This window comes from Homo sapiens, chromosome 17 (genome assembly GCF_000001405.40).
Source record: "Homo sapiens chromosome 17, GRCh38.p14 Primary Assembly".
Taxonomy (NCBI): domain Eukaryota; kingdom Metazoa; phylum Chordata; class Mammalia; order Primates; family Hominidae; genus Homo; species Homo sapiens.
In genome coordinates this window covers 65004107-65026495 of record NC_000017.11, presented here as the reverse complement: position 1 = coordinate 65026495, position 22389 = coordinate 65004107, and the positions used below count along the sequence as shown (strand labels likewise).

The following is a 22389-nucleotide window of genomic DNA, read 5'->3' as shown; positions in this document are numbered from 1 at the left end:
TATAAACTTGGCTTATGATTTGTGAAAATGAGTACTGTTTTGTTTTTGTTTTTAATGGAAAGTCTTACATCTAAGCCATAGAGTATTTTCTAGTCATGGCTTCCTGATATAACTATAGATCATCATTCCCTTTGGGGATCAGATGATAAAGTGATAAATTGTATTTGTCAATTATGTTGGTATTGGGACTCTGACCTGACTCAGAGGGATAGTGTAGTCTTGATTTGAAGGATTTGAGGTTTGTTTAAGGGTTGGATGTGATTTTTGTGTTGTCTTATGGTTTTTTTTTTTTATTTTGGTGGAGAGTAGTGATTTGGTCTTATTTTGGGAGTATAAAATATAGAAAATTGTATAGTTTTTGGGTTTTTAGTGATGATTAACTAATATATAAAATCATAGTAATGTTTGGCAGAGTAGGCCTCTCATTTTAACTCTGAAAATTAAAACCTTATACATTACTTATAATTTTTTTTGTTGTGTCTTATCTGCTGTTTTCATCATAGTGCAGTTTTTTTACCTGTTTACCACGTAAAACGATGGAGAGTGCTGCTGCTTAGTCGTGGCTCACTGCAGTCTTGAACTCCTAGGCTCAAGTGATCCTCCCACCTCAGCCTCCCAAATAGCTGGGACCACAGGCGTGCACCACCACACCCGGCTAATTTTTTTTTTTTTTTTTTTGTAGAGATGGGATCTCTCTATGTGTTCTAGGCTGGGTCTCGAACTCCTGGGCTCAGGCGATCCTTGCTCTTTAGCCTCCCAAAGTGCTGGGATTACAGGCATTGAGCCACTGAACCTGGCCAGGGAGTGCTGCCTATTAAGCATTTTTAATTGCTTATTTACCTATCATGCAATGTTTAGGTGTCTATTATAGAAGCAAATTAATTTTGTAAGTTTAATTGAGGTTTCAAGTTCCTTAGAGTCCTATTGCTAAAATATAAGTAGCACTTAACGATAACTTTTCCCATCCGCGCTTCTCAGCACGTTCAGTAATGTTACATCTGGAGTATCAGGTCCATTAATTTTTAACCACAAAATCTGAGTTAGCTTGAAAGCTGTGGACTATGGTGAACATTTGAAAATAGGCTCTAGGGGTATAGACAAGTAGGCAGCTAGAACTGTAGTACAGTAGGAAATAAAGCTTGTCAGAATTGTCAAATAAGTTTTTTTAAAAGAGGAAGCTATATATAGACTTAATTTTATTGTTTATGATTCAGATATCCCAAAAGAAGGCCTGATAGTTTCTTGTGAGACGTGGTGAATTATGAAGAATGCAAATACTGCTTGAAATCCACTTTTACAGCTGGGTGTAGTGGCTCATGCTTGTAATCCCAGCACTCCCGGAGGCCGAAGTGGGTGGGTTGCTTGAGTCCAGGAGTTCGAGACCACCCTGGGCAACATAGTGAAACCCCATCTCTACTAAAAATACAAACAATTAGCCAGGCATGGTAGCAAGTGCCTGTAATCCCACCTACGCTGGAGGCTGAAGTGGGAGAATCACCTGAGCCCGGGTGGTCAAGGCTACAGTGAGCCTCGACAGTGGCTACATTGTGCCACTGTACTCCAGCCTGGATAACCAGAGTTGAGACCCTATCTCAAGAAAACAAAAAACAAGCCCACTTGTACAGTAAGATAAAACTAAACTAAATTTCTTATCTTGGCATTTTTAGACTTTAAAAACAGATTTTGTGTAATTGATCCTAAAAGATGAAATTAATACGAAATCTAGTTTTGAGTAAAATATATATCCAGATTTGAAGTAATGCGAGGGCTGGCTACATCAGAATCACTTCTCTCGGAACTTGCTAAGATTTTGATTGGGTGGATTTGTTTGGAGACCTGGGAATCTGTATTTTTAATAAGCACATTAGGTAATTCTGATAGATTACCAGGATTAAGTATCATTGGTCTAGAAATGTGTAAAGGGTCAGATAGTATAATATTTTAGGCACTGCGTGCCAAGGGAAGAAATCAAGGGCATTATGTAGGTATTTATATAAAAAGTTTTATTGATGAGATTAAAAATATAAACTTGTGTGCAAGTTTTTGTGGCTACGAATGTGAAAAAAATTGGATTCTTTTGGAATAACATTTTGTTTATTGGGATTCAATGTTTTAGCATTTTTTTGTCAGAGTCAGTTGCAAATATTCCTCCATTCTGATCTGTAATGAGATTTTACACATTTCATCCTTGAAAATATATTTTCACACAGATACTACCAAATGAGCATATGATTTTTTATTTTTTGGAGAAGGTCTTGCTCTGTCGCCCAGGCTGGAGTGCAGTGCCATGATCACAGCTCATTGCAGCCTCAACCCCCGGGCTCAGGTGATGATCCTACCTCACCCTCCCTAGTAGTTGGGACTACAGGCACATGCCACCACACCCAGCTAATTTTTTAACTTTTTGTAGAGATGAGTCTCAGTATGTTGCCTAGGTGGGTTTTAAACTCCTGGGCTCAAGCAATCCTCCCGCTTTGGCGTCCTCCCAAAGTGCTGGGATTACAGTGTGAGCCACCGTGCCAGCCATAGCATATGATTTTTATTGAGCATAGTCAGTGCTTGAGAGATACTTACAGAATCCTGTTAGATTCTTCTCAGTGTTTGCCTCTTAGCATGTCATTACATTGCAGATTAACCACTTGAAGGTTAGGTAGAAGCTCTTCATTTGCGTAGTTAAATGGATTTTGAAATATGGAAATTTCCTTTGCACTTACATAGGGGTCTGAAAGATGCTGTTGGAACTGTAGTTAGAGTTTAGAAATATTATGTCCACTGGAAATTTGTATGGGAATGGAAGTCTCACTTTTTGTTTTAACTTTTGACAGCAAAGAAAGTATATAAAGCAGTTTGACATTGTTTTGATTAAAACTATGCTAGCTGTCGAAATGACTTTACCAGAGTGTAAGTTTCACCAACAGTGCCGTTTTGCCTTGTAATTTTAGGTTGAATTCATTCAGAAATCAAATCAAGTCTGCCCTAAGGCTAATTTCCGAAACCATTCAGCGTTCAACAATAGTGGTTAAGGGTAGTTCTTGTTCAGGAAAAGAAATCAGTTCCATCCCTGTGCTCAGAAAAAAGTCAGTAAAACTTTAGCGCTGCTAAGACATCGAACTGTGTCAGAATTTTCACTTTTTGTTTCTGACAGAAACTCATGACCTGCTGATGGTCAGGTTCACAGGAGCGTGTTAAATTCATCACTGACATTACTCGTTCATGAGCACAATAGATTCATGTGTTTCCCACAAGGTACATGCTCATGAGTAATGCAGTGAGTAACCCTTACACAGGTTTTGCATGTTTGACCCCCTTTCTGTTCCACGCATTTTTACCACCATCAGTTGTAACACAGCCTAGCATATTCCAGTTTAGGCTGTACTCATTTAGTGTTTTCTCAGCTTCTCTGAAAATACTCTCACACGTAGCTCTTCCACATGGACTGTTCATACAGGCTGGTTCTTCAGTCACTTCAAACTTGGCATTGATTCCCTAAGTAAACAACAACTGAGCATTGTGGTAATAAACTCAGCAAGAGCCAGGGAAAACCACTGAAATAATTTGCCATGTTTCTTAATTGACAGTTGATGGTTGTTCCGAGTGTCCTCAACTCTGAGCAGCTGCTCTCACTGAAAGGCTAATAGTCTTAAACAAGGTTACTTTCTCTGGCCATATTTCTTCAGCTGTTACAATCAAACATGAGTTACTCACTCACTTGGTAAATGGCATTCCTTGCTTGTCTAACAAAAACTTTGAAAACTTGAAAATACTTTGGTTGCAGTCTCATTTCATTTTTTGTTTTGGTGAAGAAATTCTGCAGTGATAAGCTATTCCATTTTAAAATTTTGCATGTGTTTTGTTTTTGTTTTATGACCGTTGCTTTTCTGTGGGTTGGGAGGATTGAAGAAAGCTTAGTCTGTAAATGTTGGCATACATTGTATTCTTCTAGCATAGCTATAGTGTCATTGCATAATAAATAATGCTTTACCATGGAATTTGATAGCAAAATTATTTACATCCTACTGTGCCTTAAAAGTGTGGTATTCAGGGCCTTCTTTTTATTTGGATGGATGTGTATTTACTCCCTTTTTTTTTTTTTTAATGTCATGGTGTGGCAATACTGGTGACACTTGGAATATTTTCAAGTTATAACTGTGTCACTGCAGTTTGTGGTGCACCAAGCAGTGGTGCAGAGTCATGAGAGTGCAACACACTGCCTCAGTCTCCACTCCTCACCTCTGCTGTTGTAGCCTGGAAGTTCCCATAGACGATACACCAACAGGTGAGCGTGGCTGTGTTCCAGTGCATTTTTATTTATGGATGTTGAAGTTCGAATTTCATATCATTTTTACATATCATGAAATAGTCTTTTAAGTTTTTTCCCCAACCATTTAAAAATGAGCCGTACAAAAACAGGCATTGGGTTGGATTTGGCCTTCAGGCTATATAGTTTGTGGACAGACCCCTGGTCCAGAATCTAGTTAAATATAAGGAGCAATCCATTTGCTCTCAACCAGCTCTTCCTTCTGCCATAATAGTAATTCACTAGCACTGTTGTAGTTGTATATACTTTTTCAGTGGTACTGTGTTGAGGATCATTTGAAAGATCTTAATACATATTGCCAAATTGCTTTCTAGAATATGTTTACCTTGCTTTTTATTAGAAAATCTATATTTGATACCCATCTCTATAAACCTTATGTTATATTCTTAAGGCATGAATCAGACTTTGAATTAAAAAACTCTACTCTTTACCTATTTTCTATAAGCAGAGTTGCCCTTTTCTTATTGACATAAAGCCACTGGTGTTTTTGAGTATGTTCTAAAACAGCAGATCAGTTCTTCTTGTGTGTTCTTTGGCTATCCAGCTTAAATTCCATATCCTTTTAAAGAAGTGCATTCTAAATCCTTTCCTTTTAATATTTTAGCTGTGCAGAAGAGAGCATTGAATACAAATGTCACTTGTTCAGTAACTGGGTCGATAAGCTGCTAAGCCTCTCTCTGTATGACTATGAATTTAATAGAAATTATTTTCTAACTTTTGTTCTTAGCTTTTCTGTTACCTTCAAGCTTAGGACTCCAGACCCATTTTGTCTTTACAAGCAAAGGATGTTTATAACAAATTATTGTTGTGAAGTGGGGGCAACATTGAAGCCATTCCCAGCTTAGACACCATTTTGTAAAACTCGTAAGAAATATGGTTCGTGGAACCTCATAGACTTCTAATACTCAAAGGGTCACTGAAGCTCACCTAATATTGTTTGTTGACTTTGTCAGTAATAAAGTCTATCTTGGGGCTGGAACCCAGGTACACTGGCTGCTATGCCATTTAAATGGAACTGAAATATCCACAAGGCTAAAGAAATATTGGAACACTTTTCAGAGTGCCATGCTACTTTTACTCTTCAGCCTTACTACAGTAACCTAGAAACTTACCTGTAGTGTTCTGAACAGAGAAAAAAGAGCTAAGGGCCGAATAAAATAATCTTAAGTTTTTAAAGTGTTAACTGTGAAATGAAATTTCTTTGAAATTTTATTTTTAAAATTTCCAGGCCGGTCATGGTGGCTCACACCTATAATCCCAGCACTTTGGGAGGCCGAGACGGGTGGATCACCTGAGGTCAGGAGTTCAAGACCAGCCTGGCCAACATGGGGAAACCCTGTCTCTACTAAAAATACAAAAATTAGCCAGGCGCGGAGGCACACACCTGTAATCCCAGCTACCCCAGAGGCTGAGGCAGGAGAATGGCTTGAACCCGGGAGGTGGAGGTTGTATTGAGCCAAGATCGCGCCATTGCACCCCAGCCTGGGCAACAGATTGAGACCCTGTCTCAAAAAAAAAAAAAATTCCCTTCAGTAACATAAAATGAACTGGGAAAAATATGAGAGCCTCAAGTTACAACCAGCAAAAAGTGAGTCTTAAACCCATAATATTCTTGCACAATACATTAAATCCTTTATTTATTAGCAAAGAACGTGGAAGCAACACCGCTTGAATGAGTCACAACAAAAGCAGATTTAGGATTAACAAACACATGGCCTATGAGGAAAGGAGAACTTAACTTGAAATCAGTGGAACTAACTGAAATTGTTGCACAGGGCAGAACTTAAGCGGTTGGTTATCCATTGAACCACTGAACTTCTTCATGTAACTCTGGGGGAAATGGAGACCTGGAGGAGTTTAGAGACTTGGCCAGATCACTCCTTGTTAGAGAAAGGACTGAAATTCACATCTGTTCCTTAACATTAATATTAGAAAACAAGAAGACTTTGATCACTTCTGAAATTGTTAAGAAAAAAATATTGAAGGGTAACTTCCTCCCAGTAATTCATATTTTATCTGCCAGACACTTTAGGAAGGTAGGAGGAGAGGATACCAGTTGCCTCGTACTGAGCTTTGTATAAAATTTGAATGAGGACACTAAACACAAAAAGAAGTGATCAGAAGCTGTTGAGCTTATTGAGTCCAGAGACATCATCATTTGTTTCCATGTCTTCCGTTTTTATTTTTTTAATTTTTCTGTTTTTAATTTTTGTGGGCACATAATAGATTCATATATTTCTGGCGTACATGAGCTGTTTTGATAGAGGCATGCAATGCGTAATAATCACTCATGGAAGATAGGGTATCTCTCCCTTCAGGCATTTATCCTTTATGTTACAAACAATCCAATTATACTCTTTTGGTTATTTCTAAATGTACACTTAAATTATTAGTGACTATAGTCACCCTGTTGTGCTATCAAATACTGGTCCATATTCATTCACTTTAACTATCTTTTGTACCTATTAGCCGTCCCCACCTCCTGCCACCCCAACCCTTGCTGCCCTTCCCAGCCTTTGGTAACCATCCTTCTTTCTATCTCCATGGGTTCAATTGCTTTGATTTTTAGCTCCTACCAATAAGTGATAGCATGCAATGTTTGTCTTTTTGTGTCTGTCTTACTTCACTTAACATAGTGACCTACACTTCCATATATGTTGTTGCAAATGACTGAATCTCATTCTTTTTTATAGCTAAATAGGACACCATTCTGTATGTGTATCACATTTTCTTTACCCATTCATCTGTTGATGGACACTTAGGCTGCTTCCAAATCTTGGCTTTTGTGAAGAGTGCAGCAGTAAACGTGGGGGTGCAGATATCTCTCTCCTCCATATACTCATTTCCTTTCTTTTGGGTATATACCTAGCAGTGCCATTGCTGGATCATATTGTGTGATCTTGAGACCAAAAAATTATAGAACTGCTACTTTCAAGCTTTGTGACTCAAAGTGTGGTCCCAGGCACTCCTTGAATTGCAGAAACTGGGGTCCCACCCAGACCTACTAAACCGGAGCCTGCAGTGTGAGGAGATCTTCACATGATGCCCAGGCATACTAAATGAGGTGCTGCTTCAGGAACACTTGGAAGTAGCTTCAGGCAGGGACAATGCTGCAGCTGTAGAATCCCGCGGGAAAGTGAAACGCAGGGGGTGAGGACTAGGAGACTCGGACACAGACCCCTTCTTTCCCAAAATAGTTCCCCTCTTCTCTGTGTGCTCTGGTCAAGCGTTTTCATGTTAGGAATGTATTCTCGTACAGTTTAGATGTTTGAAATTGCTTGGAAGTTTCGTCGAGAAAACTGGGCTCAGAAAGGATAGGCCACTCGGGAAAAGACCTGTTGGAGATGTGAAGCTGGCAGCACTATCCAGGGCCTTCCTGAGCAAGGCACGCCTGTCCATGCCTGTGGTTGGGGGATTTTGTACAGTATTCTTACCTCATCTCTGGTTTGGTTTGTCTCTGAAGATAACTATCGTCACTATTAAGCTAGAAAATGTAGACAAAAAGACTGTCACTTAAATTTTATATGTAGATTTATGTTTTATCTCAAAAGCAGTTTTCATCTTCTAATTATATGTCTTCACTGTGGATACGTAGTTATAGCAAAAAGCATGCGTGTAATCCTGTCCAAGCAGATGATCACTTGGGATATTGATTCTATTAAGCATTTGTGAAATCAGCCTGCCTTTGCAGATTTAGCAGTCTGTGACAGAGCAGACGTTTTATATGTTTTTAGGAAGGTTAGCTGTCTGAAATTGGTGACTAAACAAAGTCTGTTTGGGTTAAGTGTACAACCAGACAGTATGATGTAAACTGTTGTAACAAGATCTTCCATTTCTAAGCCCTAATAACTATTTGTTTTCTTCTTGTTTTTAGGGTGAATCTGTAAAATATTTCCTGGATAACTTGGATAAACTTGGAGAACCAGTAAGTGTTTAAACCAAATGTTTATGTTTAGTGCCATTTGAAAGCAGAAGTCAGGATATCGATGTTAGGAAATTTAGAAAAATTATGTATTAAGCTATTTGCTTCTTTCTCTCTTTTTTTTTTTTTTTTTTTTTTTTTTTTTTTTTTTTTTTTTTTTTTTAGTGGTGGCGTTCTGATTCTTCTCTGCTTTATTTAGAGTGATTGGTAGCTCAGAATATTGAATGATTTTTATTTTTTCAAAATGAAAGTATTTTTATTGTTTAATCACGACACTTCTTTTTTCTCCCTCTAACTGTCCAGGTCTCTACCATTTTCTTGAGGAATGCTTTGTCTGCTATTTCTTGGAAGTAAAACTGTTTAGAGAAAGAAGTTTGTGTTTGAAGATGATATTGTGCATTATCTGTTATACTTTAGTATCTTTAGAGGTTTTTGTTTGTAAACAGAAATAGAACACAGTGGGTTGACTGATTTCCAAATCTTTTGACAAATGACATTTTCGAATTCATGCCCCCTTTGTGTCGAGTCACGGAGTAGGAGGGCTAGATTTAAAAGGCTGAAGAGACTCCACGAGGTAGGGGGAGTCGCCCTTGAAAAGAGAGTCTATCATTTTCCTGTAGGTATTCCTCGGAGCCAGCAGCTCTAAGCTGGCGCTGTGGCCAGCGGGGCCCACTGCAGGCAGAGCATCTCGCTTGTTTGACCTCTGTATTGGGCGTACACAGAAGAGTTCAGTGGGAGAAAGGTTTCTGCTGCTTAGGAAAATTTTGAAAGCCATTGCCTTAGAGTCATCTGTTACTCTCTAAATGTAGCACAGCTTCATTTGCCTCCTCATAAGGCAGGTTTCTTCTTCTTCACACAGCTAGTATGTGTGTGTCCTCATCAACATACTCTGCTCTGCCAGACTATTTAGCACTCGATTGCATGAAGTTCTGTGCTTCATGTGAAGCAGCCTTTAGATTGCTAACTAGATTATTAGCTTTAATAGAGACAAAGACAATAATAGAGAACTTTTTATTTTTATGGAATTACATTTTTTAAAAGCTCAGGGCCCGGCGTGTTTCTGAAGGAGCTGGCATAGGTGTATGTTGTAAATTGGTATTGCCTTCTAGAAAGCAGTCGGGTGTTAAGTATCCAGAGTCATTAAAATGTTTGTAACCTTTAACGTCATAATCGTACCCCTGATTATTTTAATCTTAGGAAATAGTCCAAAGGAAAAAAAAAATGTGCATGAGAATTTTAATTGCAGTATTTCTGTTAATTATGGCTAAAAATTGGAAACAACCTTAATGACCACTAGTAGGGGAATGTTAATGTAAAGTACAGCACGTTAATGCATTTGGTGTATTTTCTTGTCTTTTAAAATGAGGTATGATTGTATCAGCATATGGAACAGTTCACAAAATATTAAGCAAAAATGCAGAGGTAGGCTGAACGCTGTGTGCATATGCTGATTATAAATAAAGCAGGCGTGTATCTGAACAAAGCTAGAAGAAAACATGGAAAAGCTAACACTTGAGTCCTAGAGTTATTTAATGAATGGCTGTTGGTTGCCAGTAACTAAGAACCCACCTACTTTTAAAAAACTCTGAATTCTGGCCGGGTGCAGTGGCTCACGCCTATAATCCGAGCACATTGGGAGGCTGAGGCGGGAGGATCACTTGAGGTCAGGAGTTCGAGACCAGCCTGGCCAAAATGGTGAAACCCCGTCTTTACTAGAAATACAAAGAAGTAGCCGGCCGTGGTGGTGCACACCTGTAATCCCAGCTATTCGGGAGGCTGAGGAGCAGAATCGCTTGAACCTGGGAGGCGCAGGTTGCAGTGAGCCGAGATTCCGCCACTGCACTCCAATCTGGGCAACAGAGCAAGACTCCATCTCAAAAAAATATGTATATATATATATTCTTAATTCCATTGCACCATTTTGAGACAATGAGTATTCTTGTAATGAAATTTCAAAATCATATGACACTATTCAGAAAGGCATAAAGTGCAGCATTGTGAATAACAGCATTGTTTTAAATCCTGCCTTGATTTTTAAAATATTTTGACCTTGATGATAAATATTAGCTGTCCCGTTCATGTATTACCAGAAAGTTGTGTTGTAGTTTTGGAAAAATGCTAGACTGACAAGGAAGAACCAGTTACATTGCATAAGGAAGTGTGCCATCACAGAGTAGCCAGAGACTTGTGTGACCAGCAGCTTCTGTTTGTTCAGGGTCTTAGAGTTCACTGACCAAGAGTGCAGAGAAGAGCTCATTTGATCCTTGCAACAACCCTCCCTCCCAGGTATATAGACCAAGTGTGATCACCTCCATTTCACAGACAGAGGTGCTGACACTCAGAGTAAGTGACTAGTTTGAGTTCTTGGGTCAATAAGTAAGAAATTAATTATAGTAGAGAAAGGATTTTTCACACATGTAATATAGCAGCAATGAAAACATAGAAGTTTTAAGTCATGAGTGGGGTTGCACAGTAAAAGAACTTTTAGAATAGGTTAGAGAGAGGTGGGCAGAACTTGGAACTGGGAAGTGATCCTTGTGAATTGGCACTGGAATCAGATCCCATTGCCTTTTTTTTTTTTTTTTTTTTTTTTAAGACAAAGTCTTGCTCTGTCACCCAGGCTGGAGTGCAGTGGCATGATCTCAGCTCACTGCAAGCTCCACCTCCTGGGTTCACACCACTCTCCTGCCTCAGCCTCCCAAGTAGCTGGGACTACAGGCGCCCGCCACCACACCTGGCTAATTTTTTTGTATTTTTAGTAGAGATGGGGTTTCACTGTGTTAGCCAGGATGGTCTCAATCTCCTGACCTCGTGATCTGCCCGTCTCGGCCTCCCAAAGTGCTGGAATTACAAGCGTGAGCCATCGCGCCCAGCCCCCATTGCTTTTAATAGAGGAGCAAGGAGCAGTGTGGAGAAGGTAGATACGCAGACAGGAAGATCACTCTGGCTAGAACCAAGAGTGGCTGATAGTGGGGAGTAAGATTGCAGGTGGATATATAGCAGTGAGGGTGGGTAAGAACAATTGATAAGACTTCAGCTTAAATTTTGAGTAGTATTGCAGGGATGAAAACAAGTAGATTCTGGCCATTTGTAGTAAATTTTGAACCCGTCCTGCTAACATTTTAATGTATCTTGGCTTTTGTTGTGGGGAGCACAAGTGGGTCTTGCTATATTGCCCAGGATATTCTCAAACTCCTGGCTTCGCAAGCGATCCTCCTGCCTCAGCCTCCCAAAGTGCTGGGATTATAGGCATGACCCACCATGTCTGACCAGTCTTGGCATTTTATAATAAGCATAATCTATCTGAAAATGTCACTTAAAAGATCATTTTGTTTGCATATCTATTCACTAGTCCAGTTAGTAGTCCATTAAAAATTCGCATTACTTCGGGATTAATAGGTATAAAACAAGTTTTTTCTTTTCCAGGATTATATTCCATCACAACAAGATATTCTGCTTGCCAGAAGACCCACCAAAGGCATCCATGAATACGACTTTGAAATAAAAAATGTTCCTTTCAAAATGGTTGATGTAGGTGGTCAGAGATCAGAAAGGAAACGTTGGTTTGAATGTTTCGACAGTGTGACATCAATACTTTTCCTTGTTTCCTCAAGTGAATTTGACCAGGTGCTTATGGAAGATCGACTGACCAATCGCCTTACAGAGTCTCTGAACATTTTTGAAACAATCGTCAATAACCGGGTTTTCAGCAATGTCTCCATAATTCTGTTCTTAAACAAGACAGACTTGCTTGAGGAGAAGGTGCAAATTGTGAGCATCAAAGACTATTTCCTAGAATTTGAAGGGGATCCCCACTGCTTAAGAGACGTCCAAAAATTCCTGGTGGAATGTTTCCGGAACAAACGCCGGGACCAGCAACAGAAGCCCTTATACCACCACTTCACCACTGCTATCAACACGGAGAACATCCGCCTTGTTTTCCGTGACGTGAAGGATACTATTCTGCATGACAACCTCAAGCAGCTTATGCTACAGTGATGTACAAAAGACTTGCTGTTTTAATATCTTTTTGTGTTTTTGATGTTTTCTGTTTGTTTTGTTTTTTAAAATAGCAGTTTACAACCAGAATTAGAACAATCTTAATTCTACGTTTAACTTCTTGAAAATCTTAGTACTTTTTCTGCGGCCTTTGGTTTGTGGCTGAAAGCTGTTGAGTGACTCATCGCCAAGATTTGCTGTAATGCAGGCTTTGATCTGTTTCACCATGGCTTCTATTCAAGTCCAGTTAAAACCTCCCAGCTGACCTCAGACTAGGCATATTTCAGGCTTTAAATTATTCTACTTTCCAAACTGAATTCTCCTGCAGTGCCAAGTATCAAAGGTGTCCTTAAATACTTGTAGGGATGAGGTTAGGAATATTCAGTTCCAAAACAAGATATCTTCTGTCCGCCTTACATATAGCAGTGACACTTGTTGCCTAACTTTATGGTGACCTCCTATTTTGTAAGGGCTGTTAGAAGTTCTATCTAAGAAATGGCATTCTGTAGGTTTATAGAAGGTTTAGCCTTCATATTTTAATTGCTTGTATACACAACAGCTGTTTTGCTTTTAGATTTCTGTGTTTCTGAAGGTAATGTTCTTCCTGTTTTCAAGTTTACATAAGGATCTTTGGTCTGATGCTGATGAAGAGTTCACAGGTGGTATGGGAGAGCAAAAGGCAAGCTAATGCTGTTTACCGTGTTTTGGTCAAACGTAACGAGTGAAATAGAATTTGCCTTTCTCATATTTAATTATCATGTAGTTTAATGTACCATATGTGAAACATTCTGGCCATAGCAGCAACTAAAAACTGCAAGCAACTTGGTAACAGAACTTTCTAAATAAACTTAACCTGTTCCAGAATGTCATGTATTTGACTTTTAAGCCCTATCTCAGTTGGTCAGTAAAGACCAATCCTTACTGTAGGAAATCATTGTTGTATCATCACAAACATCTATCTTTTGCTGTCCTGTCCAGTCCCATCAACTCCACACTGTGCCATTTGTGGCATCGTTTTGTTTATTTGGAGTTTGCTAAGGGCAGTATTTTTCTGTCAAGACTATTCAAGAAGGCATTATTTGAGATTCCTGTTCATTCTTGGTGTGTCTCTAACAGATACAGTATGTATACATTTGTATAATTGTTGTTGTTGAAAGTCCAGCTTTTTTGAGGTATATTTTAAATGTTTTAAGGATGCTTCTAAGGATCAGTAGTAATTTTTTTAGTTCGCACCTAAAGATGATTACATTGACCTCCCCCGACTGCTTACCAAATTAAAATGTGTCCACGAAGTAGCTTTGTGATCGCAGATACATTCATAGTGAACTCATCAGAATGGCTGGTTTGCAGTACTGAAATACTATCTTCTAGGCTGTATGTAGTGCTACAATTAGAGAAACAGAAGTCCAAGGCTGGCGACAGCTTGAAAAGTCTGACAGCTTTTCTACTTTTCCTGAAAATTTTAAGACTGTGATATCTGTCATTTTACTGTATAGCTGACTGTGTACTCAGGTATTTTATTGGTCCTTGAAAGATTGGTCGTTATGGATCACCCAGCCTTTCCAAGTCAGTGGCTGTTGTTCTGTCTTGCTGTCTGATACGAGAGTGGGGCTTTTCAGTGAACTAACCAGGGATTGTTCTTGACATACCTGACTTTTCTCACATTTGAACTTCCACTATCATTGTATCCATATAACTTCTAGCATTTTCATGCCATGGTAATCCATGAGCTACACATACGTAGCCCGGCACCGTGATGCAAGTTCATGGTATCGTGCATGTTCGTGGTATCATGGTATCATTCATGCGTGTTTGAATAGTTCTACATCTAGTGCTTCTTGCCAAAAAGAATACATTGTTTAAATTCACAAAATTAGCATAATTGCAGTGCTAATGAATATCGGAATATGTGCACAGTAACATTTGGACTATTCATTGGAGAGTTTACCCATACATTTAGCAAATTGAATGGCCAAAACATTTGACTCCAGTGAGGGCTCAAGTTAGATCCCTATAGAAAGAGGACACTTCATCTTACTTAAGTCATAGTTAAGATCTGTGATACGAACCATAGATATTGCCTGACAAAGCAGAAATCACCAAGTTTCCCCCTTTTGAATTACCACCAAGAAGTGTTGAAACACCAAATAGATATCATGTTATTTTGGGCATTTGCAGTTTTCTTCCCTGCTGCATGTAATGTCTCAGAATCAACATTCTTTTAAAATCTAGACTATATTTTGAGGCAATGAATTACTTATATTCAACTTAGGCTTGTTTTGACATTCAGTAGAACTTTAAGTTCAATCTAAAGGCTTCAGTCCACATTTTTTTATACGTTGTATTTTAAAAACGTTTGAAAGGAGTCTTACACCTGTATCATGAAAACTGAATCCTTTTGAAATACCACTATATGAAGAGAGAGATGAAATTTAGTGAACAGAATTGAAAAGGTGCTCATAATTTCACTATGCAAACTTACCCCAGTCTCTAAAAAAGTAATTTAGATTTAAAGTTCTTTGATGTATTTGATTTTCTAAATCTTTATGGTTATGATTTGGAATAAAATGTGCCTAATCCTGTGTTACATTCTGTTCTTAAATCTGAATGCCTTCTCATTTAATTCTGAGGAAATATCACACAAGTGTCTTCATTGACCTTGAAGAAATGTATATACAGTTGCCTTATAAAACAACATAAATTTAGACCATAACTTTTATAGAGAAAGGGTTTTGTCAAATGTTTTCTGAAAATCTGAGTAATTCAAAGCATGCCTCTGCCCCTTTAATATTTTTAATAACCTGCATTGTTGCTGTCTGCCAAATATTAAATTGAAATCTTCATTTCAATTTTATTATCTGGAAAGGGCACTGGATTGCTCTGCAACCAAAGAAAGCAATATGGAATGAAAAAACTCATTCACTTTTGTCTTATTTTCTTTTAAGGTGTATTGGCATGTAATTTGCATAGAGAAGGTCCTCTGGTTAGTCTCTCAAATTGAGGCTGTTTAGGGAAATCCTTATTCAGTTGGTGGCAGTGGTTGGTTTAAAGTAGAAGGAAATAAGATCGCCTTAATACCAGAAATGATTAGAAGTGCTGATTTAGATTCAACAAATACCATATGTCCTTATCATTTTTTGTAAGAAGAAATTGGTTAAGTCCTAACTTTCAATGTGTACCCAAATACTTGTATTTATGCTTTTGATAAAATGTATTTTCAGCATTAATACACATCCGATTATGCCTTATTTATATATGAAGAATAAAGTTACCATGTTACACTGTTATGTCCTAAAATTCAAATCACTATTTGAGAAACCCTCAAATTGGTGCTTTCATTATATAATGATACATTTAGACAAAACCCCAAACTAAGCCATTTGAAACAAGATTCTCTCCATTGCAGTTTGTAGCAATGTTATTTCTGTGTATGTCATGAGAAGGCTAAATATCAGTGTTAATTTCTTGTTTGAATCCGTGAAATCATGCCTGTAAAGCCCAAACATTTGTAACAAACTCCCTAATAAATTTAGAGAAAGTCACTCTGTTACCATTTCATTTATTTTAGTTTTATTTGAGAAATTAAGACCAGAAGTTTTGCTCATGTCTTTTTCACTTGGAAATCTGACTTAGTACCTAGTTAATTTGTCTCTCTCCCATCATTTTAAGGCGTTCGCTTCTGTTAATCACAGATGATCTGTCCTTGTGTTGTGCTGCTTGACTAAAAGCACTGTTTTGTTTTGTTTTGTTTTGTTTTTTAATGATAGGATACAGGGTGGCTTTTCAGTCTAGTAAACATGAGGAGGGGAGAGATTGTGGGTGGGTGTGGGTGTGTCCGCATGTCCCAAATACAGCACATGCCCATTTTTTTATGGTACGAGGTTAGGGCTTATTAATAAATGTATACTAGATCTTGAAGTGTAAGTCTAAGTCTGAACATTTTAAACAAGTTGGACTTTATGGCTTTTTCAAGTTCCATCAAGTAGATACTAGTCTTAGGCTGGTAGGTGATTAACAACATCATTTGGAGTACAGTGTTTGTACCACTAGCATTCTTATGTCTGTACTTGAACGTGTAGTTAGCATTTAAGTTATGTTCACTCTTGTAGCATTCAGGTCTTACCATCTGGTTTCAAATGCGAGAGCTTATATGAACATTGTTTTGAAAGCATGAATGATATGGCAATATTTTATGTCTTGATAAGGAGAGTTTTGTGACATATACAAATCTGCTGTTGATGATGAAAGTTTACAGGTGGATCAGAGTATGCTGGAACTCAGTGTGCATAAAATTTCAGTCAGTGAATATCACTGAACGTCATATACTACTTGGTATGTGACTTTGGTTTGTGTTAAGAAAGCTTGTATATAATATTTTTTGCCATAGTAAGTGAGAAATTGTCCTTAATCATGCCTGTTTGATGGTACTAGGAAAGAAAGGGGTAGAGATTAATTCTTGCACAGTATAAGCAACAGTGCAACAAACTATGCCATTTACCTTTTACCTCTTACTTGAAGGCAGAATCGCAAAACGTTTGAAATGGCTTTTCTAAACTACTCTACTCTGGTGAGAGCTCATTTACCACAAGAAGCCTTATAAAAAAGTATATTTTGTAATAACCCCGTAGATACTGTACCTAACAAAACATGACTCGTATTAGCTCTATAAAATATTTGTGGCTTAGGATTTTTTTTTTACATATATCTTTTTATAACTTTCCAGGAACTAAGCACATTATCTGATAATTGTTGTAAATTTTTTTGTCAGTGCTTTAGTTCAGGATGGGCAATAAATTATTTCTAAAGGAGGTCTAAAAGTGGAAAGAATGGTTTGATTTTATAAAATGAGTTGCTAGTTCATTACAGCTTTTTACTTTTGTACATATTTTGCAAAACATTTGCCTCTTGCTATTAATATTTGCTTTGTAAAAATTACTGACATTTAATAAACATTTGTAAACAATTCAATACTATGATGTTATTTAACAGTTTGGTAATTGTAAAATGTAAAGCAGATACTAAAAGTTTGAAAGCAAAAGTTTCATCTAGGGCCTGAGTTAAGGCACAAATCTACTTCAGCAGAATCCCAATGCCACTTGGCTTGAATATTAGTCTAGAAACTTCTTACTAGAAATGGAGATGTGGACTTCTTCCAAGGAAGTTCTCAGACACTTAATATGTTTTGACAAGGGAATAGGGGAAGAGAAACCACTTGTTTTCTCTGCTCCTCTTATGGCCACTGAAACTGTATTAGGGTGTACCTGAGCTCAGTTCATCCAGCTGCGACAATATTAATAATTCTGTTACGTCTGTTGTAATTAATGTTTGGAGACAAACCAACATTGACCACTCATCTTTTTTAAAAAAATAAACTTCATGTTAGATTATGATTTACAGAAAAATTTCAAGACAGTACAGAGTTCCCCTATACTCCACACCCCTTATAATAGTTCCCGTAGTTACCGCCTTGCATTACTTTGGTACATTTGTCATAATTAATGAACCAATACTGATAACATTATTCACTAAAGCCCATGCTTTGTTCTTGTTTCCTTAGTTTTCCCCTAATGCCTTACTTGTGTTCCAGGATCCATCCAGCACACGACATTACATTCGCTCGTCATGTCTCCTTCAGCTCTTCTTGGTAGTTAACAGACTCCTGTTTATCTCAGACTTTGTTTTTGATTACTTTGGCAGGTGTTTTTTGTTTGTTTTTTCTTTTTGAGACAGGGTCTCACTCCTTTGTCACCCAGGCTGGAGTGCAGTGGCCCGATCTCAGCTCACTGCAACCCCCACCTCCCAGGTTCAAGTGATTCTCCTGCCTCAGCCACCCAAGTAGCTGGGATTACAGGTGCGTGCCACCACACCCAGCTACTTTTTGTATTTTTAGTAGAGACAGAGTTTCGCCATGTTGCCCAGGCTGGTCTGGAACTCCTGAGCTCAAGCGATTTGCCTGCTTCGGTCTCCCAAATTGCTGGGATTAGAGGCTTGAGGACTTTGGCAGTTTTGAGGAGTACTGGTCAGGTATTTTGTAGAATGCCCATCTGTTGAAATTTGGTGTTTTTCACATGATTAGACTGGGTTATGGGTCTGGGAACCAGAGAGAGAAAGTATCATTATCAAATCGTGTCAAGCACACCTTCTGTGGTTACTACTCATCTTTTCCCTTTACGCTTTCCTGCTAAGTTAGCAGTTGTCAAATCACTTGGCATCTTTATGCCTTTTCTTACCTGGCATGTATTGAAAGCTATGGCTGGGCGTGGTGGCTCACGCTTGTAATCCCAGCACTTTGGGAGGCCAAGGCTGGCGGATCACTTGAGCTCACGAGTTTGAAACCAGCCTGGGCAACATGGTGAAATCCCGTCTTTACAAAAATTAGGTGGGCATGGTGGCATGGGCCTGTAGTCCCCCAGCTACTCGGGAGGCCGTGGAAGTTGCAGTGAGCCAAGATCGCGCCACTGCACTCCAGCCCGGGTGATAGATCCAGACCTTGTCTCTAAGTAAATAGATAGACAGACAGATAGATAAAGCTGTGCTTGTACTGTTCTTCCCCTAAACAGAATGAAGGGCTTTCTCTTGGTGTTGCAAAGCAGGTGTGAGGAAATGGCTGGAGGTAATGGCTGGCTGTGCTCCTAGCTGCTCTGGTTCCAACCTCTCTGGCAAATAAAAATTCTTCTCCAGGTTCTCACCTCTAACATGAAATGTTACTGTTGATCTCAAGAGAAACTGGGTTAGAAAATTTGGACTTTGAGTCTAACTCTTAACATCTAAAAATCTGTGACTTTGGAAACAGGTCTTTCTGGGAGAGATTTAAGATCTTTAAAAATTGAAACTAGACTCACTTGAGCATTTGAATCCCCAAACAAACCAAGAGGTCATTTAAAAAACAAAAACACCTTTTTTATGCTGTTGTTGGAACAAGGGAATATTTATCTGTGTAAAAAGAAACAATACAAACTATTGTGTAGCAAAGTGGGCACAATCCTGGTTAATTGGCACTGTGGGATGTCATGTCAGTACAGGATGCTCTCCCAAAATGACCTGTTTCATTGCCCACAGAGTGGGTTGTTGAAAACGAAAAGGGAGACTTTTTGGTCCTGAGAATATAGGAAACTCAAGGTTTACAGGTTAAACTAGAGGTCTGTTTTGGTGACTTGGGAAATTTGGCAAATCCTCAAAAAGCAGATGGCCCAGGGCAGTGTTTTAAAATACATGCTATAGGCCAGGCGTGGTGGTTCCCGCCTGTAATCCCAGCACTTTGGGAGGCTAAGGTGGGCGGATCACTTGAGGTCAGGAGTTTAAGACCAGCCTAGCCAACATGGTAAAACCACGTCTCTACTAAAAATACAAAAATTAGCCAGACCTGTGGCGGGCGCCTGTACTGAGAATTGCTTGTATCTGGGAAGCAGAGGTTGCAATGAGCCAAGATCGCACCACTGCACTCCAGCCTGGGTGACAAAGCGAAACTCCATCTCAAAAAAATTTAAAATAAAAATAAAGGCCTGGAGTGGTGGCTCACACCTGTAATCCCAGCACTTTGGGAGGCCTAGGCTGGCGGATCACCTGATGTCAGGAATTCGAGACCAGCCTGGCTAACACAGTGAAACCCTATCTCTACTAAAAATACAAAAACTAGCCGGGTGTGGTGGCACGTGCCTGTAGTCCCAGCAACTCAGGAGGCTGAAGCAGGAGAATCACTTTAACCCGGGATGGGGAGGTTGCAGTGAGCCAAGATTTTGCCACTGCACTCCAGCCTGGGCAACAGAGCGAGACTCCGGCTCTAAATAAATAAGTAAATAAATAAAAGTACATGTAATTTTTCGTCAGAAATTAGTGGGGCCTCTGAAATACGGTATTGTGGTTGGCATAAGGGGTATCCACGAAAATGCTGTGCAAGAATATTTCACAGTGTTCCTTTTTCTTTGAAGTACACCAAGAAAACAAAAGGCTCAAACAAGTATGGGATACAAATTAGCCATTCAAGGAGGCTGTGTTCAGCTTATCTGTTTGCCACAAGAATACTGAGGGAAGTTGTGTCCAGAATTAACATTTATACTGAGTGGAGGAGTATGTTGCTTTTTCTTTTCCCCATGAAGGTTCATGGTAGGAAAACAGAAGCTATCATGTCTTTTTTAAAGTCGATGATTCTTCCGTAATGACCTAGACTGCCGCTTTAGACACGCTTGATTTTCTGCCCCTGCCAACTGCTGAAGGGGAGACAGAACATAAGATGAACTGAAGGCTAAGCACTGCTGACCTTGGGGGGAGAAAAAGTTGTTTCGTTTTACTTTCACATTATTCTACGTGGAAAATCCCCAGTTCTTGTAAGCTTTGTAGGATTTAACTAGCTGATTTTACCATCAGACTTAGTTGAAATTTTGTTCTGAAAACAATGAACCTCCCTGGGTGCTGGTGGCTCACACCTGTAATTCCAGCACTTTGGGAGGCCGAGGCGGGTGGATCACCTGAGGTCAGGAGTTCGAGACCAGCCTGGCCAACATGGTGAAACCCCGTCTCTACTAAAAATACAAAAATTAGCTAGGCGTGGTGGCACACGCCTGTAGTCCCAGCTACTCGGGAAGCTGAGGCAGGAGAATCGCTTGAGCCTGGGAGGCAGAGGCTGCAGCGAGCTGAGATTGCCACTGCACTCCAGCCTGAGCGACAGAGCAAGACTCAATCTTGAAAGAAATAAAGGAAAAATGAACCTCACAGCACCCACAGCTTGGCTCTGTTAATGAAATTACAGATCAAGGCTAATTTTCTGCAGGCAATCCTTGCATTTGTAGCAGGTTATAGTCTGGGGGAAGATGCCATACATCGCTATAAAAGGGGAATATATTCTAGATGAAGAGCCGGATGCCCAACTTAATGGAAATAAGAAGCGTTAATCCAACACGGGAATACCGGATATTATTCCTTTCTGTAGTGCGTGAGACAGAAGAGTATTCCAACTCCCTGCATGGCATCCACACCATTCAGGACCCAGCATCAACCTTTTTCTTTCTTTTTTGAGACGGAGTCTCGCTCTGTCACTAAGCTGGAGTGCAGTGGCTCGGTCTTGGCTCACTGCAATCTCCGCCTCCCGGGTTCAGGCGAGTCTCTCACCCCAGCCTCCCCACTAGCTGGGATTACAGGCGCGCGCCACCATGCCTGGCTAATTTTTGTATTTTTAGTAAAGACAGGGTTTCGCCATGTTGGCCAGGCTGGTCTCGAACTCCTGACCTTGTGATCCGCCCACCTCGGCCTCCCACAGTGCTGAGATTACAGGGGTGAGCCACCATGCCCAGCTGCATCAACCTTTTTCTAACCGGCCTTCCCTTCCAGCTTCCTCCACTCTAGCTAAACTAGATGGCTTCTTTGCCCCACACCTCTTCTCTCTGGTTCTGTTGTTCACACGGCAAATCCTACTCATCCTTCAAGACCCAGTTCAAAGGAGGACATCCCAATTGCTATGCATCCTGGGCTAGAAGCAGTTCTTTCTCTGAGTACTTATCCCATGTTATTGCTTTTTCAGGGCACTTAAATCACTCTACATTACTATTATTATTATTATTACTATTATTTATTGAGATAGGGTCTCACTCTGCCACCCAGGCTGGAGTGCAGTGACACAATCATAGCTCACTTTTGCTTTGACCTCCCAGGCTTAAGTGATCCTCCCACCTCAGCCTCTCAAGTAGCTGGGACCACAGTTACGCACCACCACATCTGGCTAATTTTTTTTTTTTTTTTTTTTTTTTGGTAGAGATGAGGTCTCACTATATTACCCAGGCTGGTCTCTAACTCCTGAGCTCAAACAATCTGCCCACCTCAGCCTCCCGAAGTGCTGGGATTGTAGGCATGACCCACCTCGCCTGACCTCTGTACCTTATCTTGAAGCTATTATTGTTCATAGATTCTTAGCTCCTCCACTCCACTGTGCTGTGAACTCGACATTGTTACACAGATGCTCCTGTTAAGCTCTTAGAGTGCCCATCGGACTCAATCTAATTCAAATCTCAATCAAATTGTGATGAGAATCTGACTGTGGAGGAGTGGAGAGAATGCCACCCTGCCAGTATGGAGACTGGCTCTCCAGTTTTATAGCATATGAATTATATCTCAATAAGGCTGTTCAAAGAATTTGAGACTTCAGTCACTCCACAAAGTT

General features: G+C 39.6%; 1 protein-coding gene across 2 annotated transcripts in view; it reads left to right on the top strand.

Moving 5' to 3' along the window:
- Positions 1-17207, top strand: part of GNA13 (G protein subunit alpha 13) — a 47452-nt gene extending 30245 nt beyond the window's left edge. For both annotated transcript variants that reach the window (NM_006572.6, NM_001282425.2), the window contains exons 3-4: positions 8193-8243; positions 11667-17207. In NM_006572.6, coding sequence (NP_006563.2) covers positions 8193-8243; positions 11667-12239 — 624 coding nt within the window. In that variant the 3' untranslated portion in view covers positions 12240-17207. The remainder of the gene's footprint in view (positions 1-8192; positions 8244-11666) is intronic.
- The last annotated feature ends 5182 nt before the right edge of the window (positions 17208-22389 follow it).